Source organism: Homo sapiens, chromosome 20 (genome assembly GCF_000001405.40).
Source record: "Homo sapiens chromosome 20, GRCh38.p14 Primary Assembly".
In the NCBI taxonomy this organism is placed as follows: domain Eukaryota; kingdom Metazoa; phylum Chordata; class Mammalia; order Primates; family Hominidae; genus Homo; species Homo sapiens.
The window spans coordinates 20,553,183-20,576,068 of NC_000020.11; the positions used below are offsets into that span (position 1 = coordinate 20,553,183).

The 22,886-nt window shown below is 37.5% G+C and overlaps 1 protein-coding gene across 22 annotated transcripts in view; it reads right to left on the reverse strand.

The window, feature by feature from the left end:
• The window catches only part of RALGAPA2 (Ral GTPase activating protein catalytic subunit alpha 2), a 323,115-nt gene that overhangs the window by 163,653 nt on the left and 136,576 nt on the right, over window positions 1-22,886 (reverse strand). For 21 of the 22 annotated variants that reach the window (XR_007067471.1, XR_937111.3, XR_007067470.1 and 18 more), the window contains 3 exons: window positions 19,693-19,886; window positions 18,666-18,764; window positions 18,276-18,431 (listed from right to left, as the gene is read on the reverse strand). Coding sequence is in view for 14 of the 22 variants with exons in the window: in XM_011529310.3 (XP_011527612.1) it covers window positions 18,276-18,431; window positions 18,666-18,764; window positions 19,693-19,886 (449 nt within the window). In the remaining 8 variants the exon portion in view is untranslated. Of the gene's footprint in view, window positions 1-18,275; window positions 18,432-18,665; window positions 18,765-19,692; window positions 19,887-22,886 lie in introns of those variants that run through there. The other variant, XM_017027977.2, reaches the window with a different exon arrangement.

The following is a 22,886-nucleotide window of genomic DNA, read 5'->3' on the forward strand; positions in this document are numbered from 1 at the left end:
AGAGTACAACTATGTTATGAAAGCCAGGAGAAATATTACAGGACAGAGTAATTGGGTTCTGCACCTGGAGAATCAAAATTGCCTAGTGGCAGGGCATGGTGGCTCATACCTATAATTCTAGCACTTTAGGAAGCCAAGGCGGGAGGATCACTTGAGCCCAGGAGTTCAAAACCAGCCTGGGTGACATATCAAGACGCTGCCTCTACAAAAAATAAAAAAATTAGCCAGGTGTGGTGGTACACTCCTGTGGTCCTGGCTACTTGGGAAGATGAGATGGGAGGATCGCTTGAGCCTGGGACATCAAGGCTGCAATGAGCTGTAATTGTAAGACTGCATTCCAGCCCAGGCAACAGAGAGCGAATCTATCTTAAAAAAAAACAAAACAAAACAAAACACAATACCTAGAACTTCTCACCAGCAGAACTGCCATGAAGAAGACACTGAATGTCCTTGACAGCAGCATGCTTTAGGGAATGGGAAACATGCAACAAACTCCTGAGGCCACAGGAGCTGTTCTGAGCATTTGCACAGCATCAAGATTTCAGGAGTGACAGAACAAGTGGACAGATGGCAGAAAAAGGCACTGTGATGCTCAAGCCCAAAAGGAGAACCTTGAATATTTTTTATAACTGCTTATCTACAAAGAAAAACTTGGCTGGCCTTTAAACAGATGAAGATGGACTGTTCTGCTTCAGAAAATGTGGTATATAGATTTACTTATTTAAGGAACAATGTACATGAATTTTATTTTATAATGAAGTTGATAACTCACTAATCTGTCTAAACTGCCTCCTTCTCTTGGTAACAGCTTCAAGATATATATTCATATATAATGAAATTCACCCTATAAAGTGTACAATTCAGTAGTTTTTAGTGTATTCACAGAATTGTGCAACCGTAGCCACTATTTAATTTGGGAGCATTTTCATTACCTCAAAATGAAGCCTATACCAAAATGAAGCAACTATTTCCCATTTCTCATATACCCAGTAACTGGCAACTACTAGTCTACTTTCTGTCTCCATGAATCTGCCTACCCTGGATATTTCAGCATATGGAATCTTACTATATATATGGCATTTTGTGTATGGTTTCTTTTACTTAACATGTTTTCAAGGTTCATCCACGTTGTGGCACATAATACTTTATTCCTTCTTAGTTAATAATACTTAATTCCTTCAAATTAATATTCCATTGTATTGATACATGATGTTTTGTTCGTCTTTTCATCAGTTGATGGGCATTTAAGCTGTTTCTACCTTTTGGTGACTGGTTTTGATATGAATTTCTCTGGTGAATAATGATGCTGAGTATCTTTTCATGTTCTTCTTGGCCATTTTTATATCTTCTCTGGAGAAGTTTAAGTCTATGTCTTTCACCCATTTTTTATTTGGGCTGTCTTTTTGTTGCTAAGTTATAAGACTTCTTTAATTTTTTAAATTTTCATTTCTTTGTTTATTTTTGAGACTAGGTTATAAGGCTGGCTAATTTTCATATTTTTGGTAGAGGTGGGGTTTCACCATGTTGTCCAGGCAGGTCTCAAATCCCTGGCCTCAAGCAATCCACCTGTATCAGCCTCCAAACGTGTTGGGATAACAGGCATGAGCCACCGTGCCTGGCTGTGTAAGACTTCTTTATATATTCTAGATACTAGGCCCTAATCAGATATATAATTTCAAATATTTTGTGAGTTGTATTTTCACTTGCTTGATAGCATCTTTTGAAGCACAAAAGATTTTAATTTTGATGAATGATAATTTATCCATTTTTCTTCTGTTGCTTGCATATTTGGTTTCATATCTAAAAGTTTATTGGCAAATTCAAGGTCATGGAGACTTAGTCCTTTCCTTTCTAAGAGTTTTACCATTTTAGCTCTCATATTTAGGACACAGAACCATTTTGAGTTAATTTGTGTATATGGTGTGAGGTAGGGGTCCAACTTCATCCATTTGCATGAGAGTATCCAGTTGTCCCAGCATCACCTGTTGAATTGACTATTCTTTTCCGACTGAATTGTCTTTGCACCCTTGTCAAAACATCAGCTGACTATGGGCTTACGAGTTTACTTCTAGACTCTTAATTCTATTCCATTGATCTATATGTTTAACCTTTCACCAGGACCACACTGTTTGGATTACTCTAGCTTTTTAGGAACTTTTGAAATAGGAAACTAGTAATTCTCTAATTTTGTTCCTTTTCTAGATGGCTTTGGTTATTCAAGATTCCCTCCAATTCCATGTGAAATTTAGGATCAGCTTTTCCATTTCTGCAAAAACCACCATTGAAATTTTGATAGGGATTGTATGGAATCTACATGTCAGTTTGGGGAGTACTGCTATCTTAATAATATTAAGTCTTCTGATCCACGGATATTTTTCCATTTATTTAGGTAGTTTTTAAAGTCCTACAGCAAGGTTTGCAGTTTTCAGTGCAAGTCTTGGGTTAAATTTATTCCTAAGTATTTGATTCTTTTTGATGCTATTGTAAATAGAATTGCTTTCTTAATTTCATTTTAAATTGTCCATTTCTGTTGTATAAAAATACAGTTGATTTTTACATATTGATCTTGTATCCTGCAATCTTACATAATTTATTAGTTCTAGTAGGTTTCTTTTTTAAGTGTGTGTGTATTTCTTGAGGTTTTCCAAATACAAGATCATATATTTGTCAATATACATATCTTTCATTTTTCTTTCCAGTCTGAATGGCTTTTATTTCATTTTCTTACCTAAGTTCACTGTCTAGAATCTCTGGTACACTGTTGAAAAGTGGTGAGAAAAGACATCCTTGTCTTGTCCCTGATCTTAGGGAGAACATCAGAGTTTAAAATGGAAATGCCTGTTATTTCTTTGGTGGGAAGAAAGCCAGAGCCAGAACTTGTTTGGTGGCAAACAAGCCCTGGGCAACCTTTTTGCAATATATTTTTGCAGCAGCAAATGAGTGCTTTCTGCAAGGATGCTCAGGGTGCTGTGAGATCAGGGCCTCTAAGAAAGAAATGATTCTCCATCAGATGAATCAGCTCGCTCCCTCAGCCCCAAGTCCTTTGCTATGTGAACAAAACATAAAGCCCCTTTTCTCTGACCAACACAACACCCTGCCTGAAGCCCACAGATCAAGAGGGGCTGCTGTCTTTCACGTGTGCTTCCTATAATGGGCACTTCACAGCTCACTGAGGAGACTGACAGGGAGATGGCAAACCTATTAGGAAATTCTGGCACATTTATAATTCCATAAGATGAGGAAAACTATTTGTAGGGTCATGGAGAGAAGTGACTTACCAGCTGCACCAATAGTGCCTTGAAGATGCCGTGGCCTGACTACGTAATGACTGTCTTAGTCATGACACCGATAAGCTTCAAATCTACACCATTACAGTTTGTACAACAGGTTGGCTTAATGAGGTTGATGCAGATGCTCAAGAGCAGTTATTAAATCCTCACAATGAGACTTTAGCAAATGAGGGCTTCAACAAGTTGTTGCCAGTAAGTGATAACAGTGGAAGCCACTCAGTTGCATCAGACACATGTGTAAGGTGCTCTGAGTGCTAGACGCTGGTACAGAACTCCAAAAGAAAATCAGGCCTCATTGCCAAAGCTCAGGGATAAGTCTAAACAGAAAGGCATTTATACAGCAACAAGAAAGTTACTGGGGGCTGGGGATGAGGGAGGGCTGGGGTAGGAGGATACTAAAATATTTTTCTGAGGTGCCCAACTGCTTGTCTTAGAAGAGGCTAAACTGAGCCAAGTGTCTCTGTTTGTCTCCTCCACCCCCTCCTCTACAGCTTTACAATGTTCTCTAGCAGAAGCAAAAACAGGGTCACTGCCATCATAGATAAAAGGATGGGCGGCCGAGCGTGATGGCTTATGCCTGTAATCCCAGCACTTTGGGAGGCCGAGGTGGGTGGATCACCTGAGGTCAGGAGTTCAAGACCAGCCTGGCCAAGATGGTGAAACCCCATCTCTACTAAAAATACAAAAATTAGCCGGGCGTGGTGGTGGGCACCTGTAATCCCAGCTACTCAGTAGGCTGAGGCAGGGAATTGCTTGAACCCAGGAGGCGGAGGTTGCAGTGAGCCAAGATCGTGCCACTGCACTCCAGCCTGGGCGACAGAGTGATACTCCGTCTTAAAAAAAAAAGGGGTAAGTAAAATGCACGTACTGTGTGTAATCATGTAAGTAAATATTAAGGTAAGAATTGCCAAAATGAGTCAAATGTGCACACACAAACATAGGTACTGCAGAGTCAGAAAACTATACTTTTCCCAGGTTTATTATTCACACTGTCTCAAGAATGCATCTACTAGAAATATATTCTTCTTAGAATATTAAAAAGAAACACTTGAGTGAAACCACAGACTTAACACAGTCAGGTGTTGCTTAAGGTCATGGCTGCAAGGGCATAGTAAAGATTTAATCGACACTGCCAATGATGCCAAGTAAAATAATATTCTCATTCTAATGTTGGAATCTAGGTTAGGCCCCACCTGCACCCTATGTTACCCCAGAATGAAGTAGAAAAAATAAGTACGGAAAACACAACACTACTGAATTTGGGTAACAAAGGTATTTAACTTACTCCTTTGGAACCATAAAAACTTAGAAAAGAGATCCGAGAGATCATCATTCAATCTTTTAATTTAACAGACACGGAGAACGGCATCAATCAAGGCCAGAACTGCAGTTACCAGCAAGGTTTAAAAACAAACCCAAGCATCGTCCTGTTCCTTACAGGAAGGGAAAATGTTAATTCAGGGTCAATGAAGCACCATTTAATATTCGTGAATAATGGGCCTCATATATAGTGCACAGTACTATTTTTTCAATTTTTTTATTTTTTTTTGAGACTAAGTTTCATTCTTGTTGCCCAGGCTGGAGTGCAGTGGCGCAATCTCGGCTCACTGCAACCTCCACCTCCTAGGTTCAAGCAATTCTCTTGCCTCAGCCTCCCAAGTAGCTGGGATTACAGGCATCCGCCACTACGCCCGGCTAATTTTCTGTATTTTCAGTAGAGATGGGGCTTCGCCATGTTGGCCAGGCTGGTCTTGAACTTCTGACCTCAGGTGATCCACCCGCCTCAGCCTCCCAAAGTGCTGGGATTACAGGGAAAAGGCACCGCGCCCAGCCTGCACAGCACTATTTTGAGGACTTACTTAGTTTTGAAACATGAATTTTTCTTTCATCTCACTCACTTTACCTAATAATCATTTAAAAATGCAAATAACACCTTTTAAAACTATACTTTCAAGTGAAGTCAACAGATGATTGCTTCAGCTTAAAAATATGCTTCCAAAGATAAACACGTTAACTCCTACTCTCATAGAAGTATTATCAGATGAAGGAACTGGCTCATAAATGCTATCTTCAAAATAAAGACAGGTCTTCCACCAAAGCCATCTTCTTCGGAAATTACTGGGCATGGGGTGTAAGGGAGTGTGGAATTGTGTGAGGAGGCTGGGGGCGGTGAGGGGAAATGCATTAGAAAGATCTTAAGGGGGAAAAAAAAGAAATTTACCAGGATTCCAGCAACAAATTAAGATTCCTATTCTTCCCTGAGAATGAACACTAGAGAACATATACCAGCTCTTCGTGGCTTCTGTGCTCATTTATCTGTGATCTCAACTCTGCTAAAAAAAAAAAAAAAAAAAGCTCAGGGCTTCTAATGCCATCACAGACTAGCGTGCCCCATGCATTTAAACATGCTTCCTTCTCATATGGTGAAATCGGGAAGCCTGGCTCTCAGGTTTGGGTGAAAATGAGTCTGCTTCATGGTACTGACTTTTGCCAGGATGTTTCCCAGCCTATGCCCAAGAACAGATTAACAACAAAAAATGATTTCTGTTCGTTACTTCCCACAACTTCTGGTTTGTTCCCTTATCAGTAAAGAGATTAATTTTAGAATATGATTATTATCCATTCTTTTCATTCTAAGAAAACACAAAATGCATGCTCTCTTAGTTTATTTTCTTACAAGTAAAATTACTCCACCTGCACAAAGCAGCAAAACTGAAGCTCTCAACATTTTTGTGTTCTGCAAAAAAACAGAGGGCAACCCTGTGGTCATTCAATTTTGGGACTCTACCGACCAACCCTCTAATGTGGGTGGAGGCCTGGATGAATTAGAATGACAATCTCCCACCCCTCCCATTTAGACAATTCGTGTTTAGACAAAGAGCTCTCAAGAATGGCTGAAATTTGAGAGAACAATCCCAACGGAAGCCAGCTCTATCAACCTGCTTATGGAGAAACCTCAGGCCAGATCCACTAGCAAAGCAGCAATACCAACAAACCCGACACTACACCTGTCCTGCCCATCGTATGATGAAAAGCCCACCACATACAAATCTCACCATGGCAGAAAGCAAAGAGGTCAATCGACCTCTAAATGGTGGACAAATAGCTTGCTGCTTCAAATTCTAGGAATACTTATTTTACATTTTGATTTTTAATGTACATATAACAAAACTCATTTTAGGGGCCTAAAAACAACTTTTTTTTTAATGAGATGCTTTAAGTGTAGATTTTTGAGCTAATGAGGAAATAGGAGGAGGAGGGCTTTAAAGATAAAATTCCAGTAAAAGATACAACTAATTTGATAGCTGAACTTGGGCAGATACTTTACCTTTCGAACAACAATTTCGTCATCTGTAAAATGGGAATGAAAATGCATCATGCCCTGTTGTACTCTTCAAAAGGGCAAAGGAGATTGTAACTGAAAGCATTTTGTAAATTCCAAAGTTCATAATTATTATTTTTATTAAATAACAGCAACAGTTATTCATGATCTTATTAAAATATTAATTTTCCAGGATCATTTGAAATTCTCAAGTGCTAACTGGGTTGAAGGTACCATGTTAGTTGCTGTGAGGTTCTAAGGCAGCCCCTGCCTTCCAGCAATGACCTGTTAGGGGAAGGGAAAGCTACTCATAGCTAAGAGTGAGGCCACCAAGAGCACAGGGCTCTTGCATGATGGGGACAGCAGGCATGCCATGGGAACCAAGGAAGGGAAGCAAATAGGTGGCACAAGGCACTGGGTCTTGATGAAGGGACCATGCTGCACGTGTTCAACTAGACTCCAGCACACAGGAAAATGGTAGGTATTTTGTTTTAATGTCTTATTATTAAAAGCTTCTCTTTTGCTAACATTTCTTTAGCCCACAATTACCTACCAAAGGATATTTTTTCCATGGGAGAACAAAAGAAAAACTGTTGTTTATTGCTTCTTCAGAAAACAATGTTCTCTCTAAAATGTGTTTCAGTAAATAGCATTAATAGCTGAACAATCTGCAATTACCACAATACCACTTATTGTTATGTATTAAAAAGAAATCAACAGACAAAAAGAGATTATTCCCCACAAGGAGAGCACTTTTCTCACGGAAACAAAAATTGCAATTTAAAATGCTTTTCTTGACATTATATCCTTCTATCCAAGTCTACTCTTTATGAATTATAAACCACAGTCATGATTTAAATCTCTTATATTCAAAAATCATTCCTCTCCAAATGGGAGTTAATGTATCCTCCTTCCCCAAGTATAACTTTAGTACCTGAAATGTCTCTAGAAGCTATTCCTGTGTCTCTCAGTGCCTCTGTGCCTGGAGAAAAATGTAACATTTCTTAAAGTCTTCATAGAACTCTAAATGAGAAAAGATGGTCTTACAGGTCAATAGCTATATTCCAAAGAGCAGGAAAATCCCTTCTGCAATGAAATGTACCATTGCCTACTGAAGGCCTAACTATCTTTCCCTTCCCAAAGTCCCAGAGTCATCAGAAACCCGTTTCATGGAATAAGCAGCACAAGCCAAACAGGCTATGTATCTGTTCACCAATTCATGGATGCAGTGACTTGAGTGCAAGGCTAGGTAGGGCTCAAGCTCTAAAGTGAATGTTCCCTTTTTCTGAGGCTGTCCTAGAGCGTCAGACAGCCTTGGACTGAATACTTTAGAGCTTGAAAGGCTTACAAACACAGAACCTATCACCTGCCATATTTGAACAGAAAACTGGATTTAGTGTCTCCTGATGATGAGCTAGAATCTACCTATTAGTCCTGGCTCTGGGTAAAACAGTCTCTCTCACACAGCACTGCTTCAGACATTTGAAAAAGGCAATTATCTGTCTCCATGCACCAGCCCTTTTCCATGCAAGCTGTTCTCTCAGCCATCCTGCTTCCTCTTAGCTACTCAGGCAGTGCTCATGCAAGAAGTGGAACCTGAGCCCCCTTCCTGCCTCCTTTCATACATACAGTGCCTTGGGCTTTGCAGATGCAGGCCACACAACTTTCTACTTTGGGCTTCCAGACAAAATTCATCTCAGATAATTTTCATGTTAACTTCAGAATTAATCAGAACGTTCCATGTTTTATTTCTTAAACTGATTTTTTTAGACAGAGAATTTAGTAAGCTGAACCATTATGAAATTGTACCCCCTTTTTGAAAACTCATTTAACTCAACCTGAAACATTGACTCTCTTAATCTCCCTGGTTAAATTTTTGTATGCATTTATTCCCTTGGTTAAGCTAACAGAGTGAGACTTTCATACTGTCTTTGATTACTGAGTTGTGTCATTTAATTTATATTACCTAGCTCTTTTCTTAGGACAATGTCATCTGCAGAAGTACTCCTTTAGGGCAAGGTTTCTCAACCTCAGCAGTACTGACATTTTTGGTCATAAATTCTTTGTTGTGTTTCTGTGCACTACAGGATATTTAACAACATCCCTGGCTTTCACCCACCAAATGACAGTGCACTTTATGACAACCAAAAGTGTGTCCAGACATTGCCAAATGTTCCCTGGAGGGGGCAAAATTCCCCTGCCCCTCAAGAATCACTGTTCTAGGGTAATGAAAGTTGACTAGCTCACCACAGTAGAAAGTTAATGCCTGCCTTGAAACTGATAGTTGGAGCCAAAATTGCAACCAAAGTGGCTCAGCTCAGCTGCTTTGGTTACCCATTCTTCCCCATGATGCTGTGTAGATTTGGAATAGCCAGTCTCAGAAGAAGGTCTTTTTTTTTTTCTTCCATTTTCTATCAATCAATATATCTACTGAGCATCTACCCTCTCTGGGAAAAGACAGAATGCACTCCAGTGACTCTATTAAAAAAGATTCCGGTGATCTGGGCTCTGTGACAGGCCACAGTAGAGTCTCCTTCCAGAGAGAAACCTCAGAGCAAAAGAACATGTTCTCAACTGAAAAATGTATGCCAACTGATACACGATATCACACGGTAACAGTTTACTAAGAACAAAATCTTTCCTTTTCCCACATATACTGAGAGTTGCTATACTATTTTTATGCTTTATTTCACGTAGCATGTCTTATTAGATACCGGAAGATTTTGGGCTAAATATACATAATTCATATTCATGTCTGATAACATTTACTTGAAAGAAAGTCTTTACACCTTTAAATCCAACAAAGGAAACCAAACAAAACTGTAGTTTCTGGCCTGTCAGGTAGATTTTCTTCTCTCTGGATCAGCCTCCATGCTATCATCTTACACTTTTTAAAGCTGTGAAACAAGTTCACTGCACATGTGTTAAACCTCATAACCGAAACCTCTGCCATCTGTTACCTCCTACATATTTTTACTTTCCTCATTGAGGTACAAGTGGGCTCTGTCTACAGATTAATGAAAATAATTATTGATTCTACAGCTATAAAAAAAAGAAAAAATATCTCGCATTTATTTTTGGTGCAGTCATCTATCTGAAGTCTTTATGGCGATTGATAGCTGAATAAAGTTATAATAAAACTTTCATTGATAAATTTTGATGAATCTGTGGCTTGTCCATTCCCACAAAACCTTGTGGAAAACACTCGGAAGGCAGTGGATGCTACCTGATGGTGTAACGTTAATTATATGACAGCTTCTGTATTTTATCACTCTGAATTTGTACAATAAGCACAAACAGGAATTATGATTAACTTAACAATACATGTCAGGAGAGGACTGTCATCTCTCACCTGTCCTTATAAATATTATCCTTCAATCAAACCTAAGTCAAACTTGGAAGTTTTGTTTATTGCTACAGTAAACTCCCCTTATATTCAATAATATTTCATTAACTTGAGTAAAGTAAATTCAGGTCAGAAGTTGTATTTTTAGAAAAATAAAAGGACTTGTTTTTAAGTGCTACATTACTTTCAGAAATAATTAGTAACAAATATATGTCTTGGCTAACAAAAACATCAATTACAGAGCCCTTTAGATGTCCCATTTTAATAATTATAAATACATTTACAATTTGCATACCAACTGCTTGAATTCCAACAGAATTAGAAAATATGTTCTCTTAAGTACAGAGAAAATGTCCCTGGAAATCTTTCCTGCACATTTCTAATTCCTAACAGGCAAGAATTCTTTGGGGACACCCCTTGGTGTATCCTCGGATGCACCCATTTGGCCTGTCCTATGCTATAATGTCCAAGGTGAGGAAGGGTCATCAAGACATGAGTCGAAACTTACAGTCCCTTTATCCTATCATGCCCACATGTCTTCCTTTTCTCAATTCATCTTCTTGCCTTTCTGAACCAACATTTGCCTTGACAGATAATGGGAATCGTGCCAGGACACTACTTTCTCAGGATGCTTACCAATCAGTACTACATCCTACCTCTCCAACATATTTCTCACACACAGACAAACACACACACACACACATGCACAAAACACATATGTGCATATATATACAAAATATATACACATATAATGAATTATACACATAGACACACACACACACAAACCCCATCTGTGCCTCAGTCCTTGTTAGCCCTCATTACCTTGCCCCTGGGCTATTATAATAATTTCCTTTCTGTGTTTGTTGTCATCATTCTTTCATGATTATAATTCACCCCCACTTTATCACTGTGGTTTAAGCTTCTTAAAATGCTCTTGTGGTCATGTGGAGTATCATGCTCAAAAACCTTCAACAGCTCCCCACTGTCCATGGGATGAAAACTACTTTGAATCAAGGCTCTCTACAGTGCTGCCTGGATTCATGACCATATATTATTTCTACGCATATATCTGGCATTAAATCAAAGCCACTCTAGTCATTGTTCCTGAACACAGCCTGAAAAGTTCTGTATCTTTGATGTGAAACTCCATCATGCTTCTTGTCCTGCTATTTAAATCCTATCCATTCTTGAAAGTCCTGCTAAATCCCCTCTCCTTTGTGAGCTGCTTTCAAATCAACTTAGCTAAAAGGATATTCAACAGTTCAATTTTCATAACATGTATATCACTACTTATTTGGTCTTCTGCACAAGTTGATGGTTAGTACAGATACTTGTTTATGCATCTCACACTCTCATAACCTGACTAGGTCTTTACCATGGCAGGAAAAAATATTCAACATAAAAAGATCATTGAACTTTGTGCCACATTTAGGAAGGAGTGATGTGACCCTAATAATAAAGTGCCTAAAAATAAATCAGAGGATCTAAGAATGCTTAATGGGAAAGGGTCTGAGAGGCTCTCTAGCCCAATTCATTCACTTGACTACTTGTGGATAGGTGAGGGCCCCATGGCCAGTGAGTGACAAAGCTGAGTCTAGCTCTAAGGTATTTTAGTTCCCAGTATCAGGCCTGCCATCCATGAGAGTCATATGTTATTCTTGAAAGTCAATATATTCTGAAGCCATCTTATATCCTGAATTCTTGGAAGTACATTTTCCAATTCTTAGAAACCTTAGGAATAAGGCCCCACATTAGTCCTATTTTTACTTGTTGTATAAACCTATAGTTTTTTTTAAACTGTTTTTAAATGAAGCTTTAACAAAGTTAGCCTTCTAAAGGTCTAAAGTTCCTCTACTGATACACATCAAAGTTATTATTTCATCCTCGGAACATCAGTTAGATCTTTAAATTCACAAATAAGTACTTTATCTGCTAGTGTTGAGTTAAAATCCTATAAATTAAAACCTTGGTAAAATCACTTGCTGTACAGAATGAGCACTTTAGAGACATGTATTAAAATTATTTCCAGGGATTTGAGATAAACAAGGCCTCCAATTTGCCATCCTAATTCTTTACCTTTCCTGGAACTGAATACTCACTTATGTTTCACCTTAAATATACTTTGAAATTTATGTTTATCTAACATATATGGTTCCATAGTAACAAGTCTAAATTTTCAGCAAAGAACAATTCTTTGTCTGAGAAAAGGTGATGCAATTATTACATATGACTGCATGATACAGGCTGTCTGGGGTTATTAAAAGAGTCAGGTATGGCCAATTTACAAGTATCACCCCTGCACCTTGCTTTCAAAGCTCACTGCTGAGTCTTAATGCTCACTGAGGGGCCTCATGGGATCTTTTTACAAACGACTGTTTATTATTATATTATTCCATCATATACCTCATGAGAGGGGGTTGTAACACCCGTTAAGAAAATCATGAACTACTTTGACTTCTGTGATAGAATACTGCTCTATATATGATGTTTAAAATTATGGTTTTTTTTAACATTGATGTGACAAAACGTTCATAAAAATGTGGAGTTAAATGAAAGCAAAATGTTCCTACAAGCTAAATATTATTGCCTACAAAATAAGTGGCTAAAATTTTAAAAATACAAAAATTAAATTAATGCTCAAGTGCATTCAGCAACTGAAATATGAACCAGTGTTGATCATGTATTGCCAGTGACCAGCACAGCACTTTGCAGAGCAGTTACTGGCTGAGCCAGGGTCTTACTTGCAGGCAAGAGAATCCACTGTTTTGAGATTAAGAAGAAAGAGACTTCTATGAGGGTGTTAGATGGTCTGGAGAATGTCTAGAAGTGCCAGGGAACCAATCACAAATCTCCACAGCCAGGAAAAAGCTGGTAAGCAGGAACACCCAGCCACATCACAAGGCTGTTCCAGCAGAGCCCACTGTCTGCTCATCTCAACAGTGATGGTGGTGCCGGAGCAGAACCTCCATGACAGGAGGACCCAGATCCCCCTGTGCTGCTGCCCACCACTCCCCACATCTACCTTCAAGTGCCATGTTGGCTGGTGTCTCTGCTGGACAGAACCTGGGTCAATGCCAACCCAGCTGCAAGGAGTCTGGGACATGCAGTGTTCAGCTTTCTAGCTTTCCTTGTACAGAGGCTCATTGGGTGGGGTGAAAAGTGAGGGAAAGTGAGCCGATAGCCATGGACACAAAAGAAGCATTTCTGGATCATAAGCATACATGGGTAAAACAAATGTATCAATCGGTATGTCTGTCTACAGCACAGGGAGTGGTTATTTCTCCACACGTTGTAAAATTCCACAATGCCTAGTTATGTTTTTTAGTCAAATCATTATGTTCAAAGTAAGAAAATGTATATGGAGAAAGAAAAAAAATCAACACTTTAAGATATCAGAAATAAATGATGGTGTTGCTGTTCTTCTCCTTACCCTTAATATTATTACAAGAGCTCATGCTTACTAAGGGATCATATCCATGATCCAGACTGAATGCATTACATGTTTTTACCTCTTTCAAGTCTTCAAACAACCCTCTGAGGTAGGCACTATTATTATCCTCATTCGATAGATAAGGGAGCCAGAGCACAGCAAACCCAAATGATTTGGCTAATAAGTAACAAAGCCAAGACAGGAAATCAGACAAGCTGACTTGAGGTCCATGCTCTTAACCAATACACTTTATCACACTCTATTACACTAGATCTTAACTTTATGCTGTTATGATCCAAATATGTTACTTCAGGGCAGAACAACAAACACTTCTGCATTGGAGAGAGGCCTCATGCTTTTTTGGTGCATTATAAAACACAATATTATAGATGAAAATGACAAAGACCCACATTTCCCAAAATGTCTATATGCATATTTGCAACAATAATTTTACATTAATGTAGGCTTTGCATTTAAAAGAGAATTTAACTTTGATGTATAACAGACAAATTACATTAAGACATTAAATCTGTAAGTCATTGTTAAAAAATAGCTCACTTATTTTAAGCAAAGAAAACCTTCCAGTCTCTGATACATGTTCTTACAAACATGAAAATAAAATTCCTTTCCTCAACTGTCCTTTTCCATTTCACACATATTGATCTTTCCATCTGTTTTAAATAATCATGAAATTAATAAAAACTGTTTTTAATAAATCCAAATCATAGGTTCTTTCATGTCAAACTATTTTGGGGAATTCTGATGTGAAAAAGCTGCTTAAGTGTTAGGAAAAACTGAGAACAACAAGAAACAGCTTTAGAAGAGAAACTGAAGGATGATGAAGAACTGAGAAGGCAACTGTGGAAAGGTCTTTCCAGGTTGGGGCAGGGTAGTTTAATAAGGAGGATTCTGAAGTGGAGTAGGACCAAGGGCAGAGCCCAGGCAAAATAAAACGGAAGGGAGAAACAACATCAAGGCTGTTGGACCAATACGCTTGCTGTGAATCAATAAAAGAAAACATACCTGGTGGAATAAGCCAAGCCTGTATGTGAATTCTAACAGGCTTTTTAGCCTGTGGCACTGGGCAAAAGTTTTAGATATTTTTTTGAAGTTTCATTATTTATAAAATGGGCCTCAGGGGCCTGGGTACTATGGCTCACACCTGTAATCCCAGCATTTTGGGAGGCCAAGACGGGAGGACTGCTTGAGCCCAGTGAGCTATGATTGTGTCACTGCGCTCCAGCCTGGGCAATGGAGCGATACCCCATCTCTAAAAAAAAAAGCAATAATAAAATAAAATAAAATAAAATAAAATAAAATAAAATAAAATAAAATAAAATAAAATAAAATAGGCCATGGTATTTATTGAATTGAATTGCAGAGAAGATTCAATAGTACAACATCATGCAGTCCCCAGCACAGAGTCCAGCACTGTGAGTGCTGAAGAAATAAATACTCCTAAGCACCATCACCAGCCCACCCTCAGACACAAAGCAGCTGAGCAGAGGGAAGCGTACTGGGAGACTCCTTCACAGGCAGGCCGGGTAGCCCTGAAAGTCACGCCAAATTTTCTTCATAATTTATAGTTATTTTGGAACTGTTTATAATCCTAATTATTTTGTAAACCACTAACATCAATTTTTAAAAAAAATTCATTGTCAAGGAAAAAATAAAGCCATTTCAAACCATGTTTTCGATCACACCAATCAACCACGAACCCATGTTACATATGTACCGGGGGAAATACTACTTGATAAATTCATTGTGTTAGTATTACATAAGTTATTAGGATAACCAAAACTGGTTAAAAATACTAAAAACAGTTGCTTTGGAATGCACTACATTTTTCTGGCTGTTTGGTATATGTATTATTATTTTTTAAGATACAAATGGTCATGTCTGTTTACATAATAAATTTGCTATCATATTAGATGAAACTATAACTTTCCAGGATTGCCAGAGAACACAACTCATGAGACATCTACTTTACAAATTGTTTTTTAAACTAAAAAATGTCTTCAATTACTATGAACATCATTATGTTTGAAAATACTTTTTAGCATCTTATAACTTATTTAATTCAACACTTTATTGGTCACTACTGACATAATTTTGATACCTTCAGATTTAAGAAAGAACTTCATGAAACAACCAAGCCATACAAAGCATAATGTTCAAAGGCCCATGAACCACAAAGCTGCGTCGTGCAGACAAGTGTGCCACCCAGAGGCAAAAGGAAGAAACCCACCTTGGATTTTATTTGTGAGACAAAACTGATAATGTTCAATTTTAAACAATTATTTATGATTATTTATTTAAAAACACAGGACATCTTTCATAAGGTTCTCTCTGCATAAATAAATCCTTTTGCTGCTAGGATACATAAAAGTGTGGCCCTTTGAGAATTCTCACAAAATAGAAAGAAGCCCTGAGATGGTACCAGTCACAGGTACATAGTTTGTTAATTAAAAAATTGAATTTAACTGTATTCTCTACCATAAATGCTTTCTTTTCTTTTTATAATTAATATAACATGTGTTTCCAGAATTACATAAGTTCTGAAACAACCACTATGATCTATTTAGACGTGTGGATCAAAAGTTAAACTAATTACCAGAGACATTTCTTAACTTAAATGAAAAAAAGTTTCTTTCATTAGGTCTTCTGCGTAATTTTCATCTGGCAAAGGAATAAAGTTTACTTAGAGTAATTCTGTTTGGCAGACAGTCAGCGCTTCTAAAATATATAACAATAATTGTTAAGGTTAAAGAAAACAGTCAACTCTATTAAACTCACATAAAAATTCAAGCTTCTAACTAAGCCTAAATAATAGGCTGATTTTAAATAGAGATTTATGATATCCTCATTTCATCTTAGAAGTCTGAATGTTGGGATTACTGTTAGCATTGGACCATCTTTTAAGATTTATGTATTCCACTATGAACTATAAAAGATATTGAGCCTTAACTTAATTAAAAACATAACATGCATTAAGATGTAAAAACAATTTTAAGCACAAAATTTGGAAATTCTTTTGTCTATACTATAAAATTGTATTTCTTGAAAATGATTTATAAAATAATTTTTTTCAGGTTCTCAAATGTTATATAATATACTCTTATTTCATCTCATTTTACTGTTTCATTTCCACATCAACACATCTTAAAATAGAAAGACAATTCTAAACTCATTTATGTGACTTTCTAAAAAATTCATTCTAAGGAACATTGTTTACTGCTAACTTACTTGTTTTTATAAAATGAGAAGGATCTATAGTTGATTATTATTTCCAAGTAAATTTTTTTTCCTGCAAAATATTAGCATAAGGCTTCTTTAAAGTAGGGTATTGTTAAGTAAACCTTCCTCTTTTGTTTCTTTCACTGAAGGAGTTCATTATTATCTGAGAGTTAATTGTCTTTTCTATACCCCATAATCCTCCACATACCCTGAGTTGCATCATTCTGTAAAAGATGCTTCCACTTGCAATGATGCCTGTAAAATATTTGAGCAGGGAGTACAAACAATTCTACTTTGTGTTCCTATTTCTACATTTATCTAGGAAATAAATGAGATTATGGGACTAAGCCAGCCTGCTACATGGATGTCCTCTATACACTGCTAAAATCACAATGAATATGACAGACTACTCACTAGGACAGTATGGTTATTATTTCATATAAGAGTTCAATGATTTTTAAAGCTCAAAGTAAGTATTGGGAAATACATACTGCAAACTATTTAAATTCAAGTACATTCTAAAGCAACAAAAAAAGTTTGCTTATCAGGAGAATAACTTCTTACATGTACCCTGAGGTATCAAAAGGTCTGTGTGTCTGCATCATACCTTCAACGAATACAAAAAATGCAGAAAGGACAGTTACTTGATAGTTAATAAATGATTCAAGTTCATTAATAAGTATTTACAATTTAAAGGGTAAATCTCAAACACTCCCTATACCTCTATATTGGTTAAGAAAACCTAGTAATAAAATGAAATGTCTTAAAATTTATTGAATCTTTTCTATTCCTTTCTTTCCATCCCCAATGCTACCGGCTTAGTTCTTATCATTTTTTTAAAATCTGTATTAAACACTTCCTAATTGTTCTCCATCTACAGGCCAATCTCTGATTCTATCCTACTATCACATTTTCAAATCCATCTTCCAAATGCAGTCCAGAATCTCTGTGAAGCATAAATCAATCACATCACTTGCCTGCTTGATATCCCAAATCAAGTCAAGAATCCATGTGTCCCTATCCGTAATCTCCCTCAACTGGCAGAAGTCTTCCCAAGGGAGGAAGGTCAGGGTCTGGCCACACCCTATCTCCCAAACCTAGGGCCTACAAGGAGGAAGAGGTAGCTAGTGGCTCCTTGGGCCTTTCTGTTCGAACTTGAACCAAACTTAAATTGCATTGGGAGAAATTAAAATAACTCCTTATCAAGAAATGTCTGGACTCATCTTCTATCTTACAGGTAAAGTCTTTCACAAAAACATCCTAACTACTAAAACAACAATTTTCAAACATTTTTAAATGATCAGTACCACTTTCTTCAAACCATATTTAATGCAGAACCCAAACAAAAAGTGGTTATAATAGTATTTTGAGGTTGACAACACAGGCAGAGGTTAGATCATAGAGGCCATAGAATAAAATTAAAATTTGGTTGGCACAATGCAAATGCAAAGTCAGTGGGGAGAAGAAGCAGGGATGTGAAACCTGATTTACATTTTTGAAAGACCATTGTGCTTGCTGTGTGTAAAAGAGTTGAAACTACTGAGAAATTCAACACTTCTGATGTATTTTCATAAATATTACTAATGTCTTTAAAGAGTGATATGCTATTTCCAATTAATGGGCAATCACAATAAAGGAGTCGCAGAATACCTGATCCTCGCTGGTTAATCCCAGGTGCATCACAAGGTAAAAATGCACCAGGAAATCTGAGTTTGGCAGAACGTCCTGGCGTCTGGTCATCATGGCACAGATCAGCCTGTAGGCTTGTAGTTTGCCTTCCTTATATTCATTTGGCAGTGTCGCCGCCTGTCAAGGAGATGATGTTTCCAGATTAAATCAAGCCCAGGTGCAGAGTATTTCAACATTTCATTTACTTCTCAGTTTTCCTTAAGAGTTGTTTATGGACATGTGGGATGCAGTTACTTTAGTAAGACCCAGCCTGTCTTCAAAACATGCAGTCTTGGGCAATTACATTTTTCAAACTCAATTTCAGAAAGGAAGAGGAAATCGCAATAAAGGAATAAACACATATCCACTTGCCTTAAACAGCCATGATGCAAACATTCTGAGTGGTGGGATCAAAACTGGAGGAGATGGAGAAGACTGGTTATCCAGGCTTATTGCTAGATTATCCCGTATCTAATTCACAAAGAGGAGAATTTTAGGGTAGGTAACATTACGTTTATCCCAACAGTATTTCAACAGTCTTCTGTGACCATATAGCTGCTTTCAGTTAATTTCTATAAGTGAAAACCTGTAATATTTACAAGTTTCTCTTTTATTGTGAAATTATCCTTTTGAATTACATGTTTGGCTTACTGTATGTGGTTTTAGATTTATATACAAAACAAAGGCATTGTTTTTCCTTGAACGTTAATGGCTGGGGAGGTCCTGAATTCCAAACGATAAGTAACATTTTAATGAGTTATACTGAACAAACATGAACCATGTTTTTGAAAAAAAAATTTAATACATGTGAATGTCAGAACCCAAACAAAAATCAGAATAAAAATTGTATGTACTACTCAGGAGGCTAAAGCAGGAGAATTGCTTGAACCCAGGAGGCAGAGGGTTGCAGTGAGCCAAGATGGCGCCACTGCACTCCAGCCTGGGCGACAGGGCAAGCAAGACTCCATTTCAAAAAAAAAAAAAAAACTTGTATGTACTCTAAGATTCTACTTTCATAAAAAGAAAGAAGACTATATATTAATATTGGCTATTTCTATGAATACTGATGTTAATTTTCTTCTTTGTATTTTTCTACATTTTTCAAATTGTATACAATACAACCAATATCACTTTTATAAAGAGAGTAACTAGAATGACTTAACATCCTGTATTTAATATCCTATAGCAATATTCTACTTTTGCACTAAATGAAATAACTTTTGCATTTATAAAATAGTCATGTTATATATGATTATTCTTTGATAATCAAATGGACTTTGTCTAAATGTACCATTTGTGTTTCGGAATATGTTCAGTAGTTAACTGAAACACAGTTTTTACATTAAATGATAAGACCATTTTCCTGGATTAGAATAAAAAGTAACATAGCAGAACTTACCTTTGCTAGTTTGTACCAGAGTTCATAGAGATAGCAGAAAACTCTGGCATGGATCTTGGGTGACTGGATGTTATTCACATCTCCGAGGATCCCCAAGACCCTTCGCCATAACACAGCAGCAGAGTCTGGGTGCCAACCAGTGAGGCTCCCCCCGGCGATTATACTACAGTCATCTGTGAGGCACTCGCTGCTATCTATGCAGAAAAACATGTCTGTTAACCCTGTAAACAATCTTGATTTCATCATACCTTTTTTCTTTAAGGCAAATTACCTTAGGTATTCAAAGTAAAATAATTAAGGCAAAAAATGTGAAACAGCTGAGAATTTAAAAGGAGAGAAAAGCAGGATCAAGGAAGAAAGGTCAAATGATTTTGATTCTTCAAACTAAAAGAGCAACAAGCTAAGACATGACATAACAGTTCCTGGAGACCCTGTGATGGGTTTTATAGATCAGGGGAGAGGAAGAGGGAGACCCTTGAGCAGGATGGGTGGGAAACAGTGCCATGGAAATGGGTGGCCAGGGAAGCCTCAATGCTGGAGTAACATCTGCGGTGGTTGTTGTTAGGTCAGGTTCATGGGGGTGAAATGTGCATACAAGAAATTTCCATCCCTTTCAGGTTTAAGGAGTTTTAAGGAATGTATACGTTCATGCAACTGTTGCCATAAACTGCCACCATAATTGAAATATGGAGGATCTCATCACTCCAAAAAGTGCCCCTTCATAATTGGTCCCCTTCCTCTATTCTCAGCCTCTTGCAACTACTGCTTTGTTCTCTGTTCCTATAGTTTTGCCTTTTCCAGAATGTCACATGAATGAAATTCTACAGTTTGTAGCCTGTCTGGTTTCTTTCACTCAGCAAAATGCATTTGAGATTCATCTGTACAGTTGTGGGTATCAGTTGTCTCTTCTTATTACTGATTAATATTCTATTTTACAGATGTGTCATAGTTTATCCATTCACCTGTAGATATTTAGATTTGTTCCTGTTTTTTGGCAATTATGAATACAGTTGCTATAAACATTCATGTACAAGCTTTTGTGTTAACATGTTTACATTTCTCTTAAGTAAATATCTAGGAGTGAGATTCCTGGGTCCGGTCATAAGTGTATGCTTAATAAACATTAAACTGAAGAAAGAAACTGTCAAACTGTTGTCCAAAGTGCTGTTACGGTTTGCACTCCTGCAAGCAAAGTATGAGAGAGTTCCACTTGTTCTACATCCTTGCTAGAACTTGATACTGTTGGTTTTTAAAATTTTAACCATTCTTATAGGCATGCAGCAGTATCTCACTGAGGTTTTCATTTGCAGTTCTCCAGTGACTAAAGATTTTAAGCATGCAGTGATATGTGACTCGAACTTGAAGACAATGTGCAAATGGGCTGTGCAGCTCTGTGGGGAAGAGTCAGTTAGGGAGAAGAGCTAGAGCAAAGGCTGTGAGATAGGAGTGTGCTAACAAGTTCAAGGCATAGAATGTCTTTGTAATATATATTTAATTATGAAATATGAAACTGTGCATTGAAACAAATAGTTAATGAAGAATTTAATGATTTACATGTATATCTAATTTTACCGATTAAGTTATAGAATTTTGTTCTTTGGATACCTGTTGCTTTAGTATGAGTAAAGGCTAGAAGACTGATTTGAGTACGTCTCCAGCTTCCTAAAATAAGCCTTTGAATTTTTAGAGTAAACAGAAAAGCAGCCAAAGACACACAGGCACCACTTAAAGAATGATGTATTATAACAAAAAAATTTATTTCATAGTATGTATGTAATAATCAACAGAGGCAAGCATTTTAACTGCACATTGTATTTTCTCACTCTTCATCCTTTTGACTTCATTGCAGCATTTAACGCTTCTTCTCAGGCCCTTTTTAGACAATTCTATCTCTATTTGCTTCCATGACCAAGCACATTCCTCTAATCTCTCGCAGCTCAGTTTTTAAATTCTGGATTCCACATCTCCAACCTGCAGCCTTTGCACAAAGTTCAGTCTCTGTTCTCATGTGTCATAGCCTCAGCCCCCATGTGTTCTATCCCTCTTCTCCACTGGCATGGTGCTTGAGTAGGCCACCAAAGACTTCCATGTTGTTTAATGTAGTGCTCAATGTCCAGTCCTCAGCAGCATTTGATTCAGGTAATCATGTCTCCTTTCTGAAATGCTTCAACCATTTGACCCCCAGGTATGACTCTCACCTGGTCTTCTTTTGCTGGTGCTTCTTCATCTCACAGACTGTGGACACTGAAGAGCCCTGGAGCTTTTGTCTTCTCTATCTATACTCATGCCCCTCTTAATCTCATACAGATTTACTGCCAGACATATTTGAATGCCATCCATATACTCACAGCTCTACATGCCCATTTCTGGCCTAGATTTCTTTCCTCAAGTTTAAACTCATTTCTCCAACAACATATTTGACAGCTCTACATGCTCAGGACTGAACTGAAGCAGAAACCATAAGCAGGCATGGTCTTTGGTCAGTTTCACTGTGTTCCTGAAGAACCTCAGATATATGTATGTTGAGTTTGTTTTTTTTTTTTTTCCTGGAATTCAAAAGACTCTCTTCCTGCTCAAAGAGTATGAAAACTCTCCTTTAATCCCTCTGTTTTCAAGACAGCATCTCTGCACTCAGACGTGTTGGTGACTCCAAGCCAGAACCCGCCTAATTTACTTTCACCATTTTCTAGGGTGAAAAAGCAGTGGCCAGTGGCAACAGAGCTCTAACTAGTTCTTAAACAGACTTACAGTCTTCCTGTTTTTAGCCCCATCATCACCTCCTACTTTTGTAGCTACCTGGTATGGGAAATTTTCTAACCCTTTTAGAGAACCCGCATTAATTTAAGTCAGGTTGTTTCTTGGCTTCCCCTATTACTGACACAGGATTTAATATTCTCAGGTCTGCCAATTAATTTACCACAGGCCACCTGTTCTGCAACTTCAAGAAGTTGGTTGCTACTGTCTTTCTCCTGCCATCTTTGTCCTTGTGGATTTATGTCTTATTTAATATAAATCCTTTCAATGTGGCTTAAGTACGGTTTGGAGAATAAGTGGGGCTATTTGTGTTTGTTCACTCTACTGTCTTTAATAATATGCATTATTATAATTTATGTCTTTGTTACTCATTTCTCTTGCTTATTTTTAAAAGCCACTTATTTTATAATTTTTGTTGTTGGCTTTAATGCATTTATATT